General features: G+C 37.2%; 1 long non-coding RNA gene across 4 annotated transcripts in view; it reads left to right on the top strand.

Annotated features, from left to right (window-relative positions):
- The window catches only part of LOC102723370 (uncharacterized), a 366,694-nt gene that overhangs the window by 135,520 nt on the left and 208,237 nt on the right, over window positions 1-22,937 (top strand). The gene's annotated exons all lie outside the window — the stretch shown is intronic.

Genomic DNA, 22,937 nt, shown 5'->3' on the forward strand with positions numbered 1-22,937 from the left:
AGAAAGTATTAATAACTTACAAACAAAAACATGCTCTTATGGTAAATTAATATGACAAAGAAAAAAGACAGAAAAAACATCTACCTAAGGGAAAGGTTGAGGGAAGGAGGTTGATCTTCACATGGACATAGGAAAAGCTGGGCTTTTATTGCTCAAGCATGCCAGCTGACTCTAATGGCTTACTAAAGGGGAAGAATGTGGTAATGAACACATCACTAGCCTGGGAGTTGGGAATAAAAGTTCTTACTCTGGTTGGGTTAGCCACTCATTGCAACACTGAGCAAACCCCTTGCTGTGTATGATCTTGAATCCCCGAGTGGTGAATTCAAATAGTCTTTGTGACTCATCATTTGCTGAGGCTGTGCTATTTCAGAATCATACTTTTCTTGGACTAATCTTTGTGTGCCTGAGGTCAGATGATTTATCTTGAGAAAACTGCAAGGATGAAAGAGCACTCCTAAAAGAAAATTAGTTCTAATTGCTATGAATTTCAGTGACTATTTAAGCCTGACATAAACCAAATAATTAAATCTTTTATGAGGATGTGAAGACTACCTTCCGGACATTAAAAAGGTATAAATGAACATGTAAATATTGTGTTTTGTGTGCAGTTAGATATTTGCTATCTATGCTAAGCATCTGCTGTGTGGCATCCTTTGGTCAGGACCTTTTGCTTAAATCAAGCCAGGAAAAAAGAGTATTTTTACCCCATGCTTTGATGTTCAAATAGGATTTTGCAGAAATATATCCAAATTATAAATATGTCTCCTACTCATGAAACTGGCACACTTGTTAAAAATATGGAATTATTCTCATGAGGGAGAAGAGCTCCAATAAAAATTGTCCAAATACTATGTGAAAATCAGCAAAAGATAAGAGACATTAAATAGTTTTTGGTCAGAAAAATTTCCAATACTAAGTGGAAACAGGATACCTTCTGCCTTAGCCAGTGACCCTGTGGCCTAACCTACCCTTTGGAACAGAGGGAAATGCTGATGATAATATGAAGGAGAGAAGTGCTTTCATCAATAGTCAAGAGTCAGTAGGACATCCTTGATGCTAAAGAAAAGCTACCAAAAATTTTTTTTTAGAGACGGAATCTTGCTCTCTTCCCCAGGCTGGAATGCAGTGGTGTGAGTATAGCTTACTACAGCCTTCACCCCCTGGACCCAAGCACTCCTAGCAATTCAGGCTTTCAAGTAGCTGAAACTACAGGCTCACAACACCAGGCCCAGGTACTTTTAAAAACATTTTTTGTAGAGATGGAATCTCGCTATATTGCCCAGGTTGGTCTCAAACTCCTGAGCTCAAGTGATCTTCCTGCCTTGGCTTCCCAAAGTTCTGGGATTACAAGCATGAGCCACTGCACCTGGCCAGAAAGCTATTTAAATTCCTGTTTACAGAAGAGTAAATGAATAAAAATACAGCAATGAATAGGGAACACTCATAAGTGTTATTTACATTGCCCAAATGTCACTGAATCCTCTAACATCCTGAGACCCCCTTGATTTGGTATCTAAATAAAAGAACTCCAGACTCCCAGTGCACAAAATGTAAGAAGTCCAGTGCATTGTCAGGTTTTTGATAACTCCTGGGGTGGGGGAGGGTGTAGCTTGTTTACTGCCCTAAGTATTATTTTAGCTTCTAGCTCAGTTCTTGATCTCTCTCAGACTGACCCTGCCACCCTGCCATGATTGAGAGCTGCTCCAAAACTTGAATACATTGTCCCTCTTCCACACTACATTTTCTCATTGTTAGTCACTTAAGTTGTCAAAGCGGAGTTTAATTGAAGATCACGGAAAACAAAGTAGAATTATAGAATTAATCAGAAAACACCTGAACATCGAACATCAGATCTGCATGAAATTAGTTTGCCAGTTTTCACTCTCCGTAGACCATAGCTTCTCACTACATTGCCTTTACCTTCTCTTAGGAAGCACTCCTCCAGAACTTCTCTTTTCTGAATGTGCAGAAACATCACTTCCATTATGCATCACTCTGAGCATAAAACATAAACTTAAAGTTCCTAACACTTCATTATGTACAGCCATTTAAGTCCTCTAGCCAAGATTTCGGGAAATGCCTTTATCCAATAAACATGCCCAAGTAATGACTTCTTAAATCAAAGTGCCACCTAACCTGAGGCTCCATCCTTAGTGCAAAACAACCAGCAGCTTGGAGTTTGGGTGTTTCAGCATAAGTTTACTGTATCTGTTTGTGTGAATGTGGGGGGTTGCAGGAAGGGGGTAGGATTGGGGAGGTACAGAATCTCATTTCTCTACCAGAACAAACCCCATGTGTGCCAGGTTTGTTTTTGTTGCTGTTGTCCTTGTTGTTGTTGCTTGCATCATCCTCCATCTTTCTGTTCCCCTTCCTTTTCTTCCTCCTTCCTCTACTCTTTCTTTTCTTCTTCCTTTTCTTTTGCTTACTCTTCTTCCCCCTCTTTCTTGTAGCCTTTTTCCACCTCCTCTTCTTCTTATATTAATTTTTTGGAATATTAACTCTAAAATGGATTCATAATTTATTCCACCAGAGAAAATCCAGAATCTCTAATTTGTCTTTCAAATCTCTCTCTTAATGAGCCCAGCCTACCTGACTTACCACTTGACTCCTTTGAATAGCCTTCGTTTCAGCAAAATTTAATCATCTACAGATCCCTGACTGTTCCCCCCAGTTGAGGTGCTGCTCCTTCCATTTTTTTGTTTGTTTTTTTGAGATGGAGTCTCGCTCTTGTTGCCCAGGCTGGAGTGTAGTGGCCCAATATCGGCTCACTCCAACCTTCGCCTCCCGGGTTCAAGAGATTCTCCTGCCTCAGCCTCACGAGTAGCTGGGATTACAGGTGTCTGCCACCATGCCCAGCTAATTTTTGTATTTTTAGTAGAGATGGGGTTTCACCATGTTGGCCAGGCTGGTCTTAAACTCCTGACCTCAGGTGATCCACCTGTCTCGGCCTCCCAAAGTGCTGGGATTACAGGCGTGAGTCACCATTTTTATCAATCCTATATTTCCAAACCCAGCCCACACTCAAAATTCATTTCAGCATCACATTTTTCATTACTCAAGTGTAGATAATTTTCTTACCTTGACTACCTTTCAGGGCTCCCAAGAGAATCCACCTCATAGATCATAGATGGCACATACCTTCAATCCGCTTCCAATTCTACTACTATGAGTCAGATTACAAAGCCAGAAAGACCTGTAATTCAGTTCTAGCCCTGCTTCTTCCTAGTGTGTGCTTGTTTGTTTGTTTGTTTGCTTTTACCTTGGATAGATTAGTTTGCCTCTGTGTGCCTATTTTCCTCATCTGTAAATGGGGATTAAAATAGTACCTACCTCAAGGGTTACCGGGAGGATAAAATGAAGGAATGTGCACACATTGTTTGACACAGTGCCTGGCACATAGCAACAGCTCCATAAACATTAACTATGTAGTAATATTTTCTAACATCAAATAAGATTCCATGATTTCAAAACACACTTCCAGGTTATTAAATAAAAACATCTGGTCTACCCTGTGAAATGGGTAGAATAAATTTCTAATGCCTATTTTGTGGACGAGGAAACAGTCTTCGAGACAAAGACCAACTTTGCTGGACTTTAGCAACAATTAAAACTTAAGATAACTGCCACCATTGTTTTGGTTTTTACCCTGAATTTAGGTACAGATAAATTACATTCACCTGGACAGGATCTTCAGTCTTTAAGGAGTTTATAGGAGTGTCCTAGAAATAGAAAATAGTATGAGCTGCCTGGGCCCTATTGCCACTGTTCAGGAGACTGAAATAGGAGTGGAAGGAAGAAAGAATGGTTTTATCTCTGGTTGTGAATTCCCCAGGGGGAAAAATAATTGAAGAACTGTTTATGATAGAAAACTATAATGAGGAGTAATGGAATGCAATTAAGGGAAGAGAAATAACAAGCTTATAATAAGGTTCCAGTATGAGGTATTCAAATTTAATTGTGTTTTTTAAGTAATGTCAGACTCACAGATGCTGTAGCAACAAAGACTGTATACAAATGGGTGCATAAATAAATGACTTTATAATCTACACAATCACAGTGGTGTGCCTTTTAAGCCAAGATGCCATTTTGCAACTGCACATTCAGAACTGGCATTGCAAATGCAAGAAAAAAAAACCTCCTATTGAGCGGAGAATGTGATTGTTTCCTATTTCTCATAACTTACTAAGAGGAATAAAAATATCCTCTCCTCCACACACACACACAATGGAAAATTGCCCAGCCTTTTCAAATTATTAGGTTTGCATACGTTGTGATCCATTTTTGAGTTGAAGCATTACACACTAGGAGGTTAATTTATCCAACAGAATGTTATAATCAACCATTTCAAATGCATTGCTCAGATCCCCAGAGACCTTAGGGGTGAAAGGAAAAAGATATTCAAATTAATTTTTATGTCTCCCACACTGCTACAGAGATGCAGCTAAAAATGTCATTCAGAACTAGTGCTGCAGGAAAAGTGGGAACTTGAAGAAGATCCCCTGCTTTTCTGCTGTTGGCTTCTCTGTGGAATCGAATTATTTGGAGTTCTTTGTTTTAAAGTCATTATTTTTCATTAGATGGGCCGCTGCTGTTATTCAAAAGTTAATAGCAAGAATATGTCTGGCTGACACAACAAATACAGCCATAGTTCTACAGTTATTAATGCCAGTAACAGTTTGAGATACAATAAATGACTGTGCACTGTGGCATTTACCACTCACACAATAGCAGGGAACTGTGCTGACGATCCGTCTTCTGAAAAGAGAACACACACACACAGACACACACACATCCATATGTGTGTACACACACTGAACCCTTAATACTCTTGTGATGATGGCTACCAGATACATCATGGCAACTAAATGAAGTTTTATAAGTGTAGGGTTTCAAAGTATGATTTATGATGTAAGGGAATAAATTGTGACACAAAGCATTTGTCTGGGAATTTGGAGGGCATAAGGAAGAATTGGCAGTCATATTGTACTTCTCCAGATTGTAAGGACATATACAAATAACTCACTAAAATGCTTGCATGATTCTTTCAGCCCTTTTATTTCCAGTGGTAATTGTGTCACCAGTCACTGGTTCCAGGGCTTAAGTGATTTGATTCAAGGCTAGCCTTGGTCTCAGGCATTATAATTGGATTTTCCTTTTTCTTAGAGATTTACAAGGTGCATAGGCATATTAAAGTCTTTATGGAGCGCTGCAATGCGTGGATATAACATATTTTCAACATTTAACCTTTTCTTTTTGACTTACTAATTAACATTGTATATAGCAGCATTTTATGAGTACTAGTTTGGAAACATGGTCTTAATTCCCTTCTTCCCTCATATATACAAACACACATGAAGAATTTTTATGATTCAATAGAAATGAGGTTGTTCCCCATATCATTCCAATTGATGAGACTCAGATGCTCAAATTATTGGAGAACTGTTACCACCCTTCTGCTATGTGTTCTTCCACTGAACCGCCAGCCTGGAGAGGACTAAAGGTTGCAAGATTCTCATGGGTCTTTTGGGTTTCAGTTCTTGTTCTGACCCAGTGATCTTCTATTGTCCGATTAATTTCCAAACTCCACCACTGTTGGGGCTATTTTTCTCCTCCACATAAGAGCTCTCCTACATCATAACAGGGACAATTAATGTGCAAAATACAAAACTTTGTGAGAACAGCAGTCTTTCCTGTATCACCAGCACCTACCCCATGCTAGCCACAAAGTCAAGGCTTACTAATGATCATGGCTAAATTAAATGAAAAACACCAGAGCTTTTCACAAATCCATTAAGCCTGCTAGAATTTTGGCCAAAGATTTTTCAGACCAATTTTTGGAAGGCTTATCACTATGCTTCTAACTCCTAATTGCTTCATGCCTATCATCAATAAGCATTTATTCAGCAACCATATGAACAGATGAGTGCTTCGCAGGGCAAGTTTAATTGACTTATTCTCTTCCCTTTCAGAGCAGACAGTCTTAATTTCTTTTTTCGATAAGCGTACATATCTTCATTCAGTTAATAGAATGTGACAAATTGCTATTATAACTCTTAAGTACCTTTTCATATCTAGCAGTTTGTCTCTTCTCCAATTGCATCAGGTTCCTAGGTAGATCAGTACGTATTCAATGCAGACTAAAAACATTCATAAGCTTGATTGTTCAAGTCATGGCCTAGCTGCTGTCATTTTCTGGTTAACTAAAGGTCACTCTCCAGTCTGCTGTTCTGTTTTGTTTGACATTGAATGGTTCCCCAACTCATCATCCAATGCATCAGTTCTGTGCTGTGTTACAGATAGAGAATCATAGACGCAGGATGTCAGGCGTGAAAAGATGTTAGACATTGTTTAGTAGTAGTTGTGTCGATGGTAACATTTTCACTACCTTACCTTTGTAAACATTTTTAAATGTAGGAAATATTTTCTCATATCATTTGATCCTTAGCATCACCTATAAAGTCAAAGACAATAAATCAAGGAGATGCTGATCTTCTCAATGTCACAAAACACCAGAACTTTTCCAGTCTTTGGACTCTGAATCTTCCATTCTTTCTCTATTGTCTTAAGAAGGAGGTTGAAGAAGAAGAGAAGAATAAGAAAAAAGAAAGGGGAAATAAAAGAGAAGAGAAAGATGAGGGGGAAAAGAGATGAGGAGAGAAAGGAGGGAGAGAAGAGAGGTGTTAAAACAGAAAAAATAAAGGAAGACAAGTACTTGACTCAAAGTATGTGTTTAGCAAATATTTTTGAATGAATGATAATATTTATTGTATGCATATAAAAATCATTTGTGTTTAAGTTTCCTCATATTTTTCTCCACCTCTAGTTGTTGTGAAGATTAAATAAATATCTATTCAAAATACTGTGTGTATGTGTATGTGTATATGTATATAATGTTTACAATAGCTCAATACATAGTAAATACTCAAATAATGTTAACTGTTATTAAATTGATAGTATTTTACAGGTTAAAAAATTTTGAAAATAACATAATAATTAACCTTCAAGATAACCCTTTGAGATCAGTGATTATATCTTCATTTTATAGATGAGCAAACTGAAACACTAAGTATGAGTGACAATATCCAGCAGCAATACCTAGCTATTTACCTACCACACAGCTGCCTCCTTCAACTAACCCACAAATGGGAGTGGAGACTTCACAGTATAATTGGATATGTCTGTGATTTCATGGTTAATTTAGATGCAGGATATTAAGCTACATGCACCCCAACCTCAGGACACAGCCTGGATACTGAAAAAATCTTATTTTATCTTTAATTGTCCTAATTGTTAGCTTGTTACTTGAGATCTGCCTCTCTTGATAAGAATAGTTCAGAAAGAAAAAAAAAAGAGCTAGACAACTGGTATAGTTAATTGAGCTCTAGCTAACTAAGATTTTACTTTCTAATTATATCTTCATATTAGAACATTTGTGAACACTCACTGTAAGACAGAGATAAATTGGGAAGGAGCGGGTAAACCAACCTGAGTTTTCACTGCATTTGTAAGTCAAGTACTGGCTATAAAACGGGGAGTTCTCCTCTCCCAATCTGGAGCTTTGTCTTTTTCCTTTTCTATTTTGTTACTTACAAAGGATACAAATACATTTTCCCAAGTCAGTTGGATTCTAACCCAAACTAATCCTCACCAAGAAGGAAGAAAACGAGACACAGTTCCCAGTGTCCACTTCAAGTGCAAGCTTAAATTAGGCCACAGCAAATGACACATTTTTTGCATTCTATCTTTGATGGATTGATTACATGTGTCATACTGAGAGTTGTCTCCTTTGCCTCAGTTAATAAGCACTGTTCAAAGTATCAGCTGGCAATTTTCTCATTGGTTAAGATTTTTATTAAATCAAATGTTATGTGATTATGGTATCATTATAGGTAATTTGATATTAGGAGGGCTGTGTTAAATGTTGACTCTACCGTTTACTTACTACATCTTTAGTATTTACCACATCTTTAGCTCCTGGAAAGGTTGCTTAAACCTCTTGAGTCTCCAACCAAAAACTAGGATATTAATATTTACCCCTGGAAATGGTTGGAGAATGAAATTAGTTTTTTGTGCATTAATGATAATTTCTCAGTCTAAAACAATGTTATTTACAGTTAGGTTACATGAGTAGGTGTTGAATGTTGACTAAGTATCTTTGATTGTGAAATGTTTGCAGTGAGTTAACCCTAGTCCCTTGCTTTAAAAATCCTCAGAGCTTGAACCTCCATAGAGAACCTTGCTGCTGCCAAAGCCTAGAAACTTCAGATGGAGGGTCTGATAAAGGCAATGCTTCTAAGGATTTTGGGCAACTTCGTTTAACCTAGCAATAAGATTTAGACCAAGCTCTCCCAAGTTGGTCCTTAGACCTAACAACATCTCTGTCTTTGTCTCTCTTGTTAATTGTGTCCTACTGGCCTGTACTAATACTACAAGGCAATTAGCTGTGTTAATTAAAAATACCAGCCAAGCAAGATGCTTAGGAATGTTTCTGCCAAAGGCAGTCTCCAGTTTTAAACAGCCAGATTGATTTAAGGGCTTTTAACCAACTGCTCTATAAATTTCACAACCAATAGCGAAGTGCTATGGAACAGCAAGTGAAGGTTGAAAACCCAGTGGTTTGCAAGCTCCCTACCATATGAAGGAGCCACAGAAGGAGAGTGAAAATGAAACTTAACAGCCTCAGGGCAGTGGGAGAGGTTTTGAGGGAAGGCTGTTGAGCAACCAAGAGAAATTAAGCGTGTTATTTCAGAGCTAGATGTAGATGGGTTAGCTTCTGTAACTTACCATAGTCAAAAGGGAACTTTGGAAGGTGCTGAAGCAGTAGAAGGTAGATTGGAAAATTTCAGTGGACCATTCTAGTTGTTGAAGACATAGAAATGAGGGCACTGCTTGGCAGTGAGGGTGTTTATTTACCGAAGCCAGGCTTGTGATCTATTGGAAAAGGAATAGACTATACAACTCTGTGGTTTTAGAGCTAGGGAAAATAACCCACTTCAGAAACCACCAGAGTAGCTGGCTAGTCCATATATTATCCCATGGCCCAGATGGTAGACCATAGTGAGAGTCTCAACCATTAGCAATGCATCCTGAAGCCTCTGGAAGCAGATGGTAAATCTGTGGTTCCAAATAATCTGTATAAAACAGGACTACATCCAGTTAGTGTATGACAAGGGAGCAGTACGTAGTCCCTTTCTTTCCAAATCCCCAGTAAGTCTAGGCAGGGTGTCAAAACCCCAGCAGAAGTGGATTAGTCATACTCCTGAATGTTCTAAAACATATGCAACTTTCTTTTTGTGTATTGAAATTACAATCTATCTACATTTTTAATACTTGAGACATTATTTCATATGCTAATATAATATTCATCAGACTTCACTGGGCACCAGAAGCATCTATAAAGTTTAATTACCTAGGCCTCCATACAGACCTATTGAATAAGACTCTCCAGAGGCTGTACCCAAGTATCTATATTTTTAAGAAATACCACAGGTAATTTTTATATTCACCTAACGTTGAGAAGTATGGTGTTTATAGGTTTTTAAAGGGTAGAAAGACTGCAGTGTAGTGTGTCCATACATGAGCCTTGGAGTCCAACAATCTTAGCTTTTATACTTAAAAGTTGTGAGATTTGGGTAAGCTATATAGCCTTTTTAATCTTCAGATTCCTCAAATGAAAATGGGAATAATGATAGTAATTCCACATAGCACTGATATGAAGATTATTAAATGAGTTCATATGTGTTGAAAGCTTAATCCAGTGTCTGGCAAGTAGTAAGTACTAAAGAAGTGGGGCTATTATTGACTGATGTAGTAATTTGGTCTTTGCTCCTTTTAGAGCACAGTCAAAAATGAAAACACCCCTAAGAGATGTAGGCTATTAAAAGAGCAGAATATAATAGTAGAAAGAATACAGGCAGACTCTGGGTTGTAGCTACCACTCCACTACTCTCTAGTCTTAGGGAAGAAATTTGAACTCATGACCTTTAGTTTATTCATTAGTAAATTGGCATCATAAATTATGGGGTGACCCAAATTCAGTTATGGTCTGATTTTGTGTGCCCCAACCTAAGAATGATGTTTACATGTTTAAAGGGTTGTTAAAAAGGAAATACTATATGTGGCCCACGAAGACTAAAATATCCACTGTTCTTAAAGAAAAAGTTTGCTGACCTCTCCTAGATCGGCATTTTCCAAACTTTAATATGCATATAAATCATTTGATGCCTTCTTTAAAATGCATATTCTTATTCAGCAGATCTGGGGTTGGGCCTGAGACTCTGCATTTTAACAAGCCACTGAATGGTGCTGATGCTGCTTGCTTAGGGATCAATGATGCTGATGTTACCTGCTCATGTTCAGTATCAACCCTGGATATTCAGCTTTAACTGGTAGTGGGTAGGGCCGGGGCTTTTCTTATATTTGTAAAGCTCATGAGCTGATTATAATGTGCAGCTAAGGCTTAGAGCATCTGATCCACTTTGGAGCCCCTCTGCAGAATAAGTTCAATCAGCTGTCATCTTAGAAAACAGAATCAAGGGCCAGGCATGGTGACTTACGCCTGTAATCCCAGCACTTTGGGAGGTGGGGATGGGCCCAGGAGTTTGACATCAACCCCGGGCAACATGGAGAAAACTCATCTCTACAAAAAAATACAAAAATTATCTGGGCGTGGTGGTGAGGGCCTGTGGCCTCAGGTACTCAGGAGGCTGAGGTGGGAGGATCACTTGAGCCTGAGAGGTGGTGGTTGCAGTGAGCCGTGATCGCACCAGTGCATTCCAGCCTGGGTAACAGACCAACACTTCATCTCAAAAAAAAAAAAAAGAGAAAATAAAATCGAGTCTCTAGGAATGTGATTCAAAACAGATGAGTTCTAATAGGAATAAAAGGAACAGCAAAGGAAAGAGGTCTGGTTGTTAATGGGCTGCACATAAAATGCAACTGTTTAGTTCTTGAATTTTTATAGCTCAGAACATTTGTCTGGTTCCTTATCTGTTTGTTCCTTATTTTACCAGCCTTGCTTCTTCACTTTCTATTAAGTTAAATTAATTAATTAACTGGTTAATTTGTGGATCCCTTTCTAGATATGTGCCCTTGCTTTCCTGGACCTATAATGGTACCTGCATTGCGTTGTTTGTTATCTAACCCTATAGAACTTGACTTCTGGTTCACCTGAATTGAGTAGCTATCAACACCTTCTGTTGGATTTAATTCATGGCCCAAACCCCAGACTGAAAATATAGAATGATGGAACCTTAAGTATAAGAGCTAGAAAAGAATTCAAAATACTGTAGTAGAAGAATGTAAAACAGTTTCTGCCACCATTTCTGTCCTGCCCTCCCGTTCTCCTTCTCCTATAGCTATACAACATCATGACACAAAACAAGAGAATATAACTAGCATTTAAGAATATGAACTGAAGGGTTGATCACTATCCCTCTAATATCAATTAGAGGAATGAAAATATTGACAATGAAAATAAAAACCCACCTTCTGATTTTGTACCCAAGGAAAAATCAGTAAGTCATCTCTGATACTTCACAAATTTACATATTTGAAAAGGTTTCTCAGCTATAACTTGGGATTCGTAAGTGAAAAATATTTAGAGAAGGTCTTCAGGCCTGCTGGCAGTTTTACAGAAGTGCAGCTATTCTGGGATTCTGTGATCTTAGGCATTTACTTATTTGACTCTTCGACTGACTGAGTTAAGGGTGACATGAAACATAGTGTCATCACCTGAAGAACTTAAAAATAGTGACAAAGATCAGGCAAAGCCATAACCTCTCACTGTGGTGCCTGGGAAGAAACAACATGATAGAGGTGACCTGTGGGCAGTATAAAAGAAGATACCAGAGTGCTAGTAATGAGAAAAAAACAACTCAATTTGAGCTCCAAGCCTCGGAGCCTTGTTTCACCCAATCACTGTCAGCTGCAGCAGTAACCACTGCATAGATCCAACCAGGGTTGTTGTGAAGCAAGTGTATCAGTGGCCCATCCCATTCAAAGCTAGCTGTTAATTTATGGTTGACTAACACTTTATTTTACTGCCTAGAACTCCCCGCTATAGTACCTATTAAGTTATATATGCCACAAACTAAGTGAAAACTCCACTGACAGTTATCATTGGTCATTGATTGTCCTTTGTCATCATTAGACAAAGATAATGGTTTCTACCCACTAAGTGAGGGTTATTTTCTATAAATAGACCACTGCTCCCAGCCCAGTTATAGTATGCTCAAAAGCCATTCCAAAGTAACTTTGAACTATTAGTGTGCTTTAGAATGGCTCTACTGTTGGCACAAGCAAGATGTGATGTATTGTTAACACAAATGTAATGTATGCTTTGTAATTAAAAAGAAAAAAAATAAGCCAGGCACGGGGGCTCATGCCTGTAATCCCAGCATTTTGGGAGGCCGAGGTGGGCAGATCAGTTGAGGTCAGGAGTTCGAGGCCAGCCTGGCCAAAATGGTGAAACCTCGTCTCTACTAAAAATACAAAAATTAGCCAGGTGTGGTGGTGCATGCCTATAGTCCCAGCTACTCTGGAGGCTGAGACAGGAGAATTGCTTGAACCCAGGAGGCGGAGACTGCAGTGAGCCAAGATGGCACCAATGCACTCCAGCCTGCACAGTAGAGAGAGGCTCTGTCTCAAAAAGAAAAAAAAGAAAGAAAAACAGTAAGTCCTCAAAAACAATGTTTGCCTTAGAGAATTTAAATTATGGCTTAGAAAAGAAAAAAAATATCAGGATTAAATTGGAAAAGCTCTAGTGTTCTGGTTATTGTTTTTTGATTTCTGTTTGTAATCCTGGTAATGCGGATGTAGCAAAAAATCTTTTCAGTAATTCCTAAATATTGCTTTATAGTCTGGCATAATTCACTGATAATTTTATAATTATGTGTTTTTACAAAATCTAGTAAGCACATGTATGTTTGTGTTTGTGTCTAAAGTTAAGATTTTCCTTTAATGAATCATAAGAGATCAGAGAAGTCATGCATGCCTTCAAAGGTACAATAAACGGGATTAACACTTTTACCAAAAAAAATCACCTGCTATAAAAATGTTAAGGTACTGAGAATACACTCTTGTCCCTTCACATTAGATTTTTCATACTTAATCTTTATGAATCTTAATTTAAGGTCATAATGTATACCTTCTTGCACTATATTGATGCTTAAAATGGAATTCCACGTTTCCTGGCTTGAAAAACACATCACATTTTAAATAATTTTAATCACACACAGTATATCCTATCATTGGGCTTTGTCTGGATCTGTCCAGAGTAGAATTTGGGGACATCAGTGCGGCCTAGTCAGTATCCATGGAGGTACTCTACATTCAGAAAGTCCACTGGCCCACAACCCAGCACCCTGAGTGCTCCTCCAATCAGCAGGTAGTGGTAGGACAGGAGGCAATTTCAGCTTCCCAGAGGTGGGGCCGATAGAGGAGCAGGATGAGAGCACAGTGCTATATTTGATCACGGCAAGGAGAAACAATGGGCCTCTCATGTCAGCAAATATATTTTTTGTCATTTAATATCTCTGTGCCTCAATTTTCTCATCTATAAAGTAGGAATAGTGATAATGTCTTCCTCATAGGTGTATTATGACAATTAATAGGTTAATATATGCCAAGTAGTTGAAATACTACCTGGGGCATAGTAAGTTCTACCTAAGTGTTTAATGATTACTATTAAAACACTTGATTATCTATCACAATACGGGCTGTGGATAAATGATAGTTATCATCTTACTTTCTACAGTTACTTCTTTCTCCAGCATGAAGTAAAACAACTTGAATAAGCCAGACAATAAAATTTCCATTGCCATCAACCCAACTGTCATTTGTACTAAGTCACACAGTTAGTAAGTGACTGGAACAGAAACTTGAATCTAGATCTATCAAACTCCATAGCCCAAGACTACTCTTTCAAATTCTTGTCTCCCTGCACTTTGATATTGGCATAATGAACAAGCCATTCACAAGGAGAGCCAGATTAGTGCACAAGCCCGGTTCAGCACATACCACCTGAAGTTACCTGCAGCTTCAGTAGTCATGGTAAGAAGCTTGTTACCATCATCCCAGTCGGTGGAAATGCTTTGAAAGGGAGGAGCTAAACCCACCATAACGTGGCACTCTCAAAGAGGGTGCCAAATGAAGCAGCTCAATAGAAAAGTTTTGAAAACTTTAATCTGGTCTAAATTGAGATCAATCTGTCCCTTGTGGGCATCAAACATAATGAGGCAGTAAGAGGTGACTAATCCAATCCAGAAGTTTCCCCTCATGCCTCCCACTGTGGTGAGGCCTGCGCTACTGTTCTATAAAAGGCTGTTTCTGACAGCAGATGTGACACAGCTGATGTACCTGCTAAACACACCTGTACCAGCTCAGCAGGATGCATGTATGATGAGTCTGTAAAAAGGTGGTAATACAGGAATGAACATAGAGATCTCTGGAGGATCCAGTGACATTCTAGCTGAGGGATAAATTGTCCATGGGGAAAAAATTGTGATCAGTAGATTGAAGGCAAAGATCTTCTCCCACAATAATGTGGAGTTGTTATTACTCTTTTGTTTCTAAATCTGGACATTTTCCTAGAAGAGTTGCTAAGACAATGGATGTAACGTGAGCTCATCTCCTTCAGGTGCTGCAGAGAAAGAGATAAGAATATGATCCAACCATAAGAAGCAGTATTACTGTACATTACAGAAGAATGTTTGAATTCAAGAGACTTCCTAGTCCTGTCCATGCTTCAGGACAAACACTATTAATGCACTACTAAGCCTCAAATACTCCTCTAGTAAAGGGAGCAAAATTTTTTTAAATCATCTTTCAATATTAGGTTTTTGGGTGAGGTTAACAAGGTTTTCGGAATGAAACTGCCCAGAAAGTTATGTTTGGAACCAATCAACTCATTTAACATTTTATGTCAGTGTTGTTAAATGGAGTTTTATGCAAATTGAGTATGTTAACATTGTTTCGTGGTATGAATATTTGTCCTGTATTTCAAATATTCCCAAGAGAGATGAGAAGGGGAAATTTGCTATTATTTGGCAATATTCCAGAAAGCTAATTACCTAAAAGAGGATTTATGAAAGACTGCATAGATTGTTGTTCTTCACATGCTTTTTGCAAAGGTGAGATTTTTTGCTTGAAGTATTTTTAAAATTTCTGTGCCTTCATACATTCTGTTTCTGGAGCTGAGGATGTCTCTTGCCATTGTCCCCAATTTTTCTTGCAAGTAGTTACTTATTGTATCAGTCTGTTTTCACAGTTCTGTAGAGAACTGCCAAAGACTGGATAAATTATAAAGAAAGGAGGTTTAATTGACTCACAGTTTCACATGACTGGGGAGGCCTCAGGAAACTTATTCATGGCCGAAGGGAAAGCATGCATGTCTTACATGGCGGCAGGTGAGAGAGAAGAGAGCAAACGAAGAAGAGCCTTTTATAAAACCATCAGATCTTGTGAGAACTCACTCACTATCATGAGAACAGCATGGGGGAAAACAACCCCATGATCAAATCACCTCCCACCAGGTCTCTCCCCCAACATGGGATTACAATTCCAGATGAGATTTGGGTGGGGACGCAAAGCCAAATCATATCACTTATCCTTTCAGACTCAGTTCAATTGTCACTTTTGTTATGAAGCCTTTTATAACCCTCCTTGGCAAAATAGACCATGCCTTTGTGCCACTTATATACACAATAATCGCATTGTTACTACATCATTACATTTTTTATTTAAATACCTGGTCCCCCCAGTAGCTTAGTAATTCCTCCTTGGTGTGGGCCAATGTCATATTTTCTTTGAACCTACAGTACCTATAATCAATCTTTGAACCTAGATCTCATTAAATATCTGTGGAAGGAAGGAAGAAAGGAAAGCAGGGATGGAGAAAGGGAAGGAGAATGGGAACAGGGGAAGGAGAGAGGAAGAAAACATCATTACCCTCAAGCTAGGGGAATTTCGTAATCCTGGAGAATAAAAATGTAGGGGGGAAGAAAGAGCATAGGACTAGAATACAAGCTTAAATTCCACACAGTGTCTGTGACTTTGAGCAAAAGCTAAACCTTGGATTTTTTGGTAAAATTACAAGGATGTTAGAATTAAATGAAATAATATATATGTATGAAAGCACGAAACACATAGTAGTTTCTCAAAGATTTAATCATTGAATATTGGTTCAATAAACCATAAACTAATTATCTTTTAAAATCCTGAACAAAATAAAATAAAGCACACTTGGCAAAGACTCTGCCTTCAGAATTTCTGTGTATCAAGATAATTTTCTTGTAAACATCAATTTATTTTTGTACTGCTAAAGCAATAGCAACAGCAAATTTTCTCAATGGAATGCCTCCCAAACAGCTTACTTTATACACTGACTTTTCCTGCCAGAATTAATTTTAGGGGGTAAGACATTTTTTATAGTCTCTTTAGTCCATGAAAATGCATCGTTTACATAAAAATCCCTAAGCTCATTAGTAAGGCAAAAACTCATATTTAAGCAATTAACCATAAAAATAGAAAACTGATCAGAAGCACAATGAATTGGATTGGCAGATTTCTCTTTCCACACTGCAGAAACCCATTTTATCTTTAGCTCTAATGTGCATCTCCAGGAGAATCTCATCTTTATCAAACTATTCTTCATGTATATTTCTTTGAGACCCCTGTCATCACAATCTGTTTTGATTATAAGAGAAGACAGCTTCCCCTTCACCCTCTTGCTTTTCACACACTACTTGAAGCACCCATGCCAAGATTCCAGTAGAAAAAGAGAACAGGAAGAGATGTGCATTTAAGTGCTATAGTCTGGTCCTATGTAACTATTTGAACTGCCCTTTCTGAACCACCTTCTTAGTTCCAATCTGGTGAACCTCTCCTTTCCTTTACATCTACATACTGCACGCGTAGCTTCTTGCTCCTTTTTTCTGTGCCTTTGCTAATATAACACTATTCTCTCTCTCCCTCTTTCTGATGTTCTCCTTGTTCTTTTCCATCTTTCAAGACCCAACCTAAGCTCTAATGGGCTGCTTTAAGCTCGTTCTCCCTAATCTCTGTGCTGAGTTTATATACATACCCAATAACCAGCACGTTGTTCAAGGCAATCTTATTCTTTAATAATTTATTTTTAAAACTTACCATTTTATACCAGATGGTTTGTGGCTTATTCTCTCTTTCATACTATGTGTATACTCTTAGAGAAATGAACTCAATTTCAGCACATAGATAGGCACTCAGATAATGATTTTCTTTTTTTTTTTACTAATCGAAGGTGTTTTCATTACAATACTTAACTGAAGGCAGACCCCACATAAATACACATACACATGCATTCTGTTTGTCATCAGAAAAGCAAAGTGCAGATTATAAAACATCTAGGTTCCAATCTGTTTTGTCATTTACTACATTTGTAGACTTGAAAAAATTACTTTTAACATTGATTTTACAATCTTAATTAAGAAAATAATACCTGCCAAGAAGGTGTTTTCTTAGCTGTAAAATGAAGATAATAATTGTACCTACCTCATAAATTTAATTATGAGAATTTAATGAGAAAATAAAATAGAACATTTCAGAGCTGTACTGGGCACAGAGAAGGTGTTTAATACATTTGGTTATTATTGATATTATTATGGTTCATAATAATGTGACTAATATATCCTGCGTACTAATTAGCACATGGTAGAACCCCAATAAATGGCAATTCTGTGCCTTCTGTTTTCTTCCTTACATGCACCTTTTCCTTCTAAAATTTGAGAACTCCAGCAGGTTTTTATAATCAATATCATGAGTGAACTTACAGTGAATCTTTCCAATTCATTTTCGCAGCAGGAAAATAGCTGATGTATTATTGACCTCTCTTAATATGCTGAAAACTGGTATTACAATGCTGGGGAAAGATGATGCAGCAAATATGTTTCATCCATTTGTTCTATAAATTATTGATGGAATAACTACACCAGACATCATTCCAGCCCTGGAAGCATAGCAGTGGATAAGGCAAACAAGCATCCTGTGTGTATTGAGCTTACATTTTAGTAGTATAAAAAGATGGTAAGCAAACAATCAGATAAATAACCATTTCAGGTATTGACAAATATGATGAAAAAGAGAAACAAGACAATGTACCCTAATACTAAGAGGGGTTGGGTAAACTGGATATGGTGGCTATGGAATCGCTTCCTGGGAAGATGACATTTGAACTGAGATCTGAGTGATGAGAAGGATACACATATGCAGCAATCTAAGAAATAGTGTTCCAGAAAGAGGGAAGAACAGTGTAAAAACCCTGAAGCAAGAAAAAATTTGAGCTCATTACAATTTTTCAGGTGTAATAATACATTGACAAAGAACAAGTCAAATACAATAACTGATTACACTTCCTGGATATATGGCATTTGGGTATTTTTCATCAAGTCTCGAGTTCTGGCTATGAACCTGCACCTGACAAGGGAATACTATGTGTTAGTTTACACTGTGCATTCTGCAAACTCACCATTCATGGCATGATACCAAATGATTCCTATTAGAGAGAGGAACATCAAGCTTTTCTTTTTATAGCCAATGTCTCTCTTTTAGGACAGAATGCTGTAAACCTACATTTTCTTATTCAGCAAGATTCCCCATCCAAGGCCTTATTTTTAGAATTATATCAATAATAATTTTCCTGTGATGGCCCATCATATTTGAGATCCAATTCATTGGTGTTTATACAGCTGATTAAACTTTTCACTCTGCTGTATCTTAGCTATAATGTGTCAACAGTTTTGTCTACATTGATAACCTCCCAGTGCAGAGGTGCCATAATTAAGCATCTTGTTTTGACAGAACTGTTACTGTACTGGCATTTAGAAGGACAGAAAAAAAGTAAGAAATAAAAAAGCAATTTATTTTCCTAATATTCAGTGTTTATGTGTGCAGTAGATGCTAAATATCTGTATACCCAATGCTCTGCAAATAAGTGGATTGGAGGAATTGCTTTACTGTAATATTTTTTATCAGTATAAATAAGATTTATAAAATTATGATACAACTAATTTTTCATCTAAAAAAAGCATCTTTTAAAAACAAGGTCTAAAACAATAGTGAAAATTGGTGCTGTTTTAACATTTGTTGTTTTTTTCCACGTGGATGGAGAATTAAATTACAACAAAAGTTATTGATAACATTCTATGGGTAAGGTAGCACACCAGATACTTTAAGAAAAAAATTAATTATTGATCCTTTCTGTTCTGGGAGTTCATAGTCTGGAAAAAGACAAGATGTAAGATATGAACCTGAAAGACTATAAAATATTGACCTGAAAGTGATTTTTTTAATAAAAGAGATTCAAAGAAAATGTTTTGGTGGTCTAGAGTCAGGATTGATTAGGTTTCATAGAAAAGGTGGCATTTGAACAGAACATTAATTGAAAAAAAAATGGTTTTTGATCAAAAGTATTGGGACAGGAAAATATGAAGATGAATGGAGACCTAGGGTAATTCTGTAGGACCATACTGAAGAATTCACTAGTGAAATAAGCATGGTAAAGAGGTGGCATTTTTAAAACTGCTAGGTGAACAAAGTGGAAAGTATGCAACAAGGCTTTTGGTTGACAGTCCCCAAACCTCCCCAGGTGGTGGCATTATTCTGACAAATGTACTTTCCTTCCTTCCTTCCTTCCTTCCTTCCTTCCTTCCTTCCTTCCTTCCTTCCTTCCTTCCTTCCTTTTCTTCTTTCCTTCCTCCCTTCTCCCTCCTTCCCTCCCTCTCTTTCCTTCTTTAAATTCATTCCTTTGTTATAAATGTATTGTTCTAACTAGGTGCTGAGTTGAAGTAATATATAAAATAGGCCTCATCATTTGCTCTCATTGGCTTATTATTATTTATATACTCTTGTGAGGGAGATAGATAAAAGCCTAATCCTAAAATAAGTAAATTTACAGCATTATAAATCATGTAAACATTATTGAGAAAATAAAAAAGAGTGAAACCAAGAAGTATAAAGGTTTTTCTAAAGATGTGGCATTTAAGCGAGTCTTTTTAAAAAAAATGCAGAAATAAGACTTTTAAAGAAGATCAAAGGAACATTCCAAGAAGAGGAAATATTATTTGCATAGGCCTTGAGCAAGGTTAACAGTTTGGCCTATTCAGGATATTAGAAGAAAATAGGAATGGTTGGAGAGAAGTTAAGGATGGGGAAAAAGCTAGGCAGAGACCAGAATATGTGGTAATTTAATGAAATGGGTTTTTAATGAAATGGGAAATCAGTCACTGATGAATTATAATATTAAGTGCTATTCCTGCTATGAAAATAAGTCAGTGGGAGTGAGGGTAAGAGTGAAATTAGGGAAAGTAGCTAAAAAATTGTATCTCAAGCAGGAGATGGTAGTACATTATGATATCATTAGTGTATGATCTTTAATGGTGATAGCAAAACTGATTGGAGGTGGGACCAGGTATTAAACTCCCCAATTATTTTTCTACGACTCAAAATCTGGAGATAAGACACTTTGAATCCCTCTTGACAGCAATCAGCTGACTACCAATCTGTTGAGAGCACCACATTGACAACCCTGTCACCTTCCTGTAATGTGCAAGTCCATAAATAAACAGTTTCTGAGTCACTACCTTCTGACCTCTATTTACACTTTTATGCAATCAGTCTTGTGACACAGCATTTACAGTGAAATCTTTATCAAGCCCATTAACGATGTAATATGGATAAGTGAGAGAGAGCAATCAATACACAGGGAGAAATATATACCACCTAACTTGGCCTCAACCACATACAACTGAGGCCTCAGTCTCTGGGATGAAACTATGAGCTTTGATCCAACCTCAACTCTCTTTCCTATGCTCCTTAGAGCAATGTGCATTTGGTATCCTTAGTTTCTTCTTGGCAAGCATTCCAATTTGCATATTTTCAGTAAGTTACTTTATTTCTAAACCTTCTACTCACCAGCATTCTTTTCCCAATGACAGAACACCTAAAGGCTTGAGGTATCTATAACTTAGCCTTTATAGGCAATCATCCTGGAAACTTAGAAGCCATTGTCCTTTCACCCAGAAAAAAAAATAAACACACACGCACACACACACACACACACACACAAACAAACAAAAAACACCTCCATTCTCATCAGACCTCAGATCATCTCAGCCACAAATTTTCAACCAAATGTTCAAATACTGTTATGAACATAATCTCATATAGTTGTCCTTAAAAAGCAGACAACCAAACAAAAAAGATTCCAGGATTCAATAAGAGTTAAAAATGCTACATACTTTAATCACCATCTCCCACTTTAGAGATCCATGATGCATTTTAGCATATACAAGTTTTGTGAAATCTTACAGTAGACAATCTTGAATTTTAAGTAACAGAATATTTGGCAAATTCACCTAAGGAAACTATTCTGTGAATACCTACAAATATTCTTCTGGATAGAATTCTGCAAAATATGCCTTGGAAAATGCTGTTGTATTATTTATTGCTATTTTTATCCATATTTCTGATTAATTAATTTATTTATTTACTTTGAGACAGAGTCTTGTTCTGTCTCCTAGGCTGGAGTGAAGTAGCGTGATCTCGGCTTACTGCAACTTACGCCTCCCTGGTTCAAGTGATTCTCATGAGTAGCTGGGACTACAGGCACAGGCCACCACACACAGCTAATTTTTGTATTTTTACTAGAGATGGGGTTTCACCATGCCAGGCTGGTTTCAAACTCCTGGCCTCAAGTGATCCACCTTCCTTAGCTTCCCAAAGTGCTGGGATTACAGGCGTGAGCCATGGCACCTGGCCAATATGTCTGATTAAATTAAATCACTATGGTATCCATGAGGGTGCTCACCAATACCTCTCATTCTCCATTTTTTAGATCCACATGTGGATTTTACTTTCCCTTTCCTTTTAAGTTAAGCATGGACATATGACTGCTAGAATTAGTAAAATATGAGCAGAAGTGTGTCACTTTCAGAAATAAGAATTTAATTTCTGGTACGAGTCTGTCCAGAGTGCTCCTGATCATGCTATGAAGAAGTGCTTATCATTCCTATATTGTGAATGACAAAACTAATTTTCAGAGAAAACTAGGGAAGGATTCTAATCTGTGTGTTTCAAAGTCCATACTTTTTCTAGTACACCTTGCTGCCTGAAGTTTATATTTATATCACACTAAGAAAATGTTAAGGTTTATATGCACCTATCATCTTTCAAAAAGAGATGTTATTCTTTTAATGGGTTTAATTTTGAAACCATTATTCATGCAAAATTCAGTACACTATTCCACCTACTTATGTTTTCATTAGTGTGAGTGTCTTGAGTGAAAGCCAACATTACTCATTTCCCAACAGCAAAAAACACATATCTATGCATTTCTTCCTTTGAGTTAGTAGAAAATGACAAAATATAATATGTCCTTATGTTATTAAAGTACTCAAACCAAGTTAATGAAACCATTCTAATTGAAGACAGCAGGATGTCTCCTATATATCTCTTTTGGAGAATTAGACAAACGTTCAGGAAATTTTGATCCCTGTTCTGCTTTTTACTTTAATTTCCTGTTGTGTTTGGGGAAGTCATCAAACTCTTTCATTTGTAATTTCCTCATTTGTAAAATAAGGATAGTAATGTCTGCTTTGAAAATGTCATAGGTTATTTTTATTTATACACTCATGAAACTTAAATTTATACGTTTATGAGATTACATAAAGACACATGCACACACTACCACTTTGAACCTAAAAACACTCTTAATATGTAGTATTATTATTCTCTTCTAACTCATTTCTCTTTTTATTATTTTCATCCAAATTACTTATTATAACTATAGTCATTGTTTTCTCTATAATGACCAAGAAAAATAAAAAATTTTCACTATTTCAACAATACTTTTACCAATATCTTAAACTCTCAACAGTAGATTAACAACTAGTTATTTCCTG

The sequence above is a fragment of the Homo sapiens genome, chromosome 11, assembly GCF_000001405.40.
Source record: "Homo sapiens chromosome 11, GRCh38.p14 Primary Assembly".
Taxonomy (NCBI): domain Eukaryota; kingdom Metazoa; phylum Chordata; class Mammalia; order Primates; family Hominidae; genus Homo; species Homo sapiens.